The sequence below is a fragment of the Homo sapiens genome, chromosome 7 (genome assembly GCF_000001405.40).
Source record: "Homo sapiens chromosome 7, GRCh38.p14 Primary Assembly".
In the NCBI taxonomy this organism is placed as follows: domain Eukaryota; kingdom Metazoa; phylum Chordata; class Mammalia; order Primates; family Hominidae; genus Homo; species Homo sapiens.
The window spans coordinates 146,015,567-146,019,553 of NC_000007.14; the positions used below are offsets into that span (position 1 = coordinate 146,015,567).

General features: G+C 43.1%; 1 annotated feature.

Moving 5' to 3' along the window:
* Positions 3,146-3,735: an enhancer, noted in NCBI's record as "H3K27ac-H3K4me1 hESC enhancer chr7:145715805-145716394 (GRCh37/hg19 assembly coordinates)". NCBI's record gives its function as "activates a minimal SCP1, AML or CMV promoter by ChIP-STARR-seq in primed H9 embryonic stem cells {active_cell/tissue: H9 hESC(primed)}" and the evidence as "EXISTENCE:reporter gene assay evidence [ECO:0000049][PMID:30033119]".

The following is a 3,987-nucleotide window of genomic DNA, read 5'->3' on the forward strand; positions in this document are numbered from 1 at the left end:
CTAATTGCCCTGGCCAGAACTTCCAACACTATGTTGAATAGGAGTGGTGAGAGAGGGCATCCCTGTCTTGTGCCAGTTTTCAAAGGGAATGCTTCCAGTTTTTGCCCATTCAGTATGATATTGGCTGTGGGTTTGTCATAGATAGCTCTTATTATTTTGAAATACGTCCCATCAATACCTAATTTATTGAGAGTTTTTAGCATGAAGGGTTGTTGAATTTTGTCAAAGGCTTTTTCTGCATCTATTGAGATAATCATGTGGTTTTTGTCTTTGGCTCTGTTTATATGCTGGATTACATTTATTGATTTGCGTATATTGAACCAGCCTTGCATCCCAGGGATGAAGCCCACTTGATCATGGTGGATAAGCTTTTTGATGTGCTGCTGGATTCGGTTTGCCAGTATTTTATTGAGGATGTTTGCATCAATATTCATCAAGGATATTGGTCTAAAATTCTCTTTTTTAGTTGTGTCTCTGCCCGGCTTTGGTATCAGAATGATGCTGGCCTCATAAAATGAGTTAGGGAGGATTCCCTCTTTTTCTATTGATTGGAATAGTTTCAGAAGGAATGGTACCAGTTCCTCCTTGTACCTCTGGTAGAATTCAGCTGTGAATCCATCTGGTCCTGGACTCTTTTTGGTTGGTAAACTATTGATTATTGCCACAATTTCAGATCCTGTTATTGGTCTATTCAGAGATTCAACTTCTTCCTGGTTTAGTCTTGGGAGAGTGTATGTGTCGAGGAATTTATCCATTTCTTCTAGATTTTCTAGTTTATTTGCGTAGAGGTGTTTGTAGTATTCTCTGATGGTAGTTTGTATTTCTGTGGGATCGGTGGTGATATCCCCTTTATCATTTTTTATTGTGTCTATTTGATTCTTCTCTCTTTTTTTCTTTATTATTCTTGCTAGCAGTCTATCAATTTTGTTGATCCTTTCAAAAAACCAGCTTCTGGATTCATTAATTTTTTGAAGGGTTTTTTGTGTCTCTATTTCCTTCAGTTCTGCTCTGATTTTGGTTATTTCTTGCCTGCTGCTAGCTTTTGAATGTGTTTGCTCTTGCTTTTCTAGTTCTTTTAATTGTGATGTTAGGGTGTCAATTTTGGATCTTTCCTGCTTTCTCTTGTGGGCATTTAGTGCTATAAATTTCCCTCTACACACTGCTTTGAATGCGTCCCAGAGATTCTGGTATGTTGTGTCTTTGTTCTCGTTGGTTTCAAAGAACATCTTTATTTCTGCCTTCATTTCGTTATGTACCCAGTAGTCATTCAGGAGCAGGTTGTTCAGTTTCCATGTAGTTGAGTGGTTTTGAGTGAGATTCTTAATCCTGAGTTCTAGTTTGATTGCACTGTGGTCCGAGAGATAGTTTGTTATAATTTCTGTTCTTTTACATTTGCTGAGGAGAGCTTTACTTCCAAGTATGTGGTCAATTTTGGAATAGGTGTGGTGTGGTGCTGAAAAAAATGTATATTCTGTTGATTTGGGGTGGAGAGTTCTGTAGATGTCTATTAGGTCCGCTTGGTGCAGAGCTGAGTTCAATTCCTGGGTATCCTTGTTGACTTTCTGTCTCGTTGATCTGTCTAATGTTGACAGTGGGGTGTTAAAGTCTCCCATTATTAATGTGTGGGAGTCTAAGTCTCTTTGTAAGTCACTCAGGACTTGCTTTATGAATCTGGGTGCTCCTGTATTGGGTGCATATATATTTAGGATAGTTAGCTCTTCTTGTTGAATTTGATCCCTTTACCATTATGTAATGGCCTTCTTTGTCTCTTTTGATCTTTGTTGGTTTAAAGTCTGTTTTATCAGAGACTAGGATTGCAACCCCTGCCTTTTTTTGTTTTCCATTTGCTTGGTAGATCTTCCTCCATCCTTTTATTTTGAGCCTATGTGTGTCTCTGCACGTGAGATGGGTTTCCTGAATACAGCACATTGATGGGTCTTGACTCTTTATCCAATTTGCCAGTTTGTGTCTTTTAATTGGAGTATTTAGTCCATTTACATTTAAAGTTAATATTGTTATGTGTGAATTTCATCCTGTCATTATGATGTTAGCTGGTTATTTTGCTCGTTAGTTGATGCAGTTTCTTCCTAGTCTCGATGGACTTTACATTTTGGCATGATTTTGCAGCGGCTGGTACCGGTTGTTTCTTTCCATGTTTAGGGCTTCCTTCAGGAGCTCTTTTAGGGCAGGCCTTGTGGTGACAAAATCTCTCAGCATTTGCTTGTGTGTAAAGTATTTTATTTCTCCTTCACTTATGAAGCTTAGTTTGGCTGGATATGAAATTCTGGGTTGAAAATTATTTTCTTTAAGAATGTTGAATATTGGCCCCCACTCTCTTCTGGCTTGTAGGGTTTCTGCCAAGAGATCCGCTGTTAGTCTGATGGGCTTCCCTTTGAGGGTAAACCGACCTTTCTCTCTGGCTGCCCTTAACATTTTTTCCTTCATTTCAACTTTGTTGAATCTGACAATTATGTGTCTTGGAGTTGCTCTTCTCGAGGAGAATCTTTGTGGCGTTCTCTGTATTTCCTGAATCTGAACGTTGGCCTGCCTTACTATATTGGGGAAGTTCTCCTGGATAATATCCTGCAGAGTGTTTTCCAACTTGGTTGCATTCTCCCCTTCACTTTCAGGTACATCAATCAGACGTAGATTTGGTCTTTTCTCATAGTCCCATATTTCTTGGAGGCTTTGCTCATTTCTTTTTATTCTTTTTTCTCTAAACTTCCCTTCTCGCTTCATTTCATTCATTTCATCTTCCATCGCTGATACCCTTTCTTCCAGTTGATTGCATCGGCTCCTGTGGCTTCTGCATTCTTCATGTAGTTCTCGAGCCTTGGTTTTCAGCTCCATCAGCTCCTTTAAGCCCTTCTCTGTATTGGTTATTCTAGTTATACATTCTTCTAAATTTTTTTCAAAGTTTCCACCTTCTTTGCCTTTGGTTTGAATGTCCTCCCATAGCTCAGAGTAATTTGATCGTCTGAAGCCTTCTTCTCTCAGCTCGTCAAAGTCATTCTCCATCCAGCTTTGTTCCGTTGCTGGTGAGGAACTGCGTTCCTTTGGAGGAGGAGAGGCGCTCTGCGTTTTAGAGTTTCCAGTTTTTCTGTTCTGTTTTTTTCCTCATCTTTGTGGTTTTATCTACTTTTGGTCTTTGATGATGGTGATGTACAGATGAGTTTTTGGTGTGGATGTCCTTTCTGTTTGTTAGTTTTCCTTCTAACAGACAGGACCCTCAGCTGCAGGTCTGTTGGAATACCCTGCCGTGTGAGGTGTCAGTGTGCCCCTGCTGGGGGGTGCCTCCCAGTTAGGCTGCTCTGGGGTCAGGGGTCAGCCACCCACTTGAGGAGGCAGTCTGCCCGTTCTCAGATCTCCAGCTGCGTGCTGGGAGAACCACTGCTCTCTTCAAAGCTGTCAGACAGGGACATTTAAGTCTGCAGAGGTTACTGCTGTCTTTTTGTTTGTCTGTGCCCTGCCCCCAGAGGTGGAGCCTACAGAGGCAGGCAGGCCTCCTTGAGCTGTGGTGGGCCCCACCCAGTTCGAGCTTCCGGGCTGCTTTGTTTACCTAAGGAAGCCTGGGCAATGGCGGGCGCCCCTCCCCCAGCCTCGCTGCCGCCTTGCAGTTTGATCTCAGACTGCTGTGCTAGCAATCAGCGAGACTCTGTGGGCGTAGGACCCTCTGAGCCAGGTGCGGGATATAATCTCGTGGTGCGCCGTTTTTTAAGCCGGTCCGAAAAGCGCAATATTCGGGTGGGAGTGACCCGATTTTCTAGGTGCATCCGTCACCCCTTTCTTTGACTTGGAAAGGGAACTCCCTGACCCCTTGCGCTTCCCGAGTGAGGCAATGCCTCGCCCTGCTTCGGCTCGCGCACAGTGCGCGCACCCATTGACCTGCGACCACTGTCTGGCACTCCCTAGTGAGATGAACCCGGTACCTCAGATGGAAATGCAGAAATCACCCGTCTTCTGCGTAGCTCACGCAGGGACCTGTAG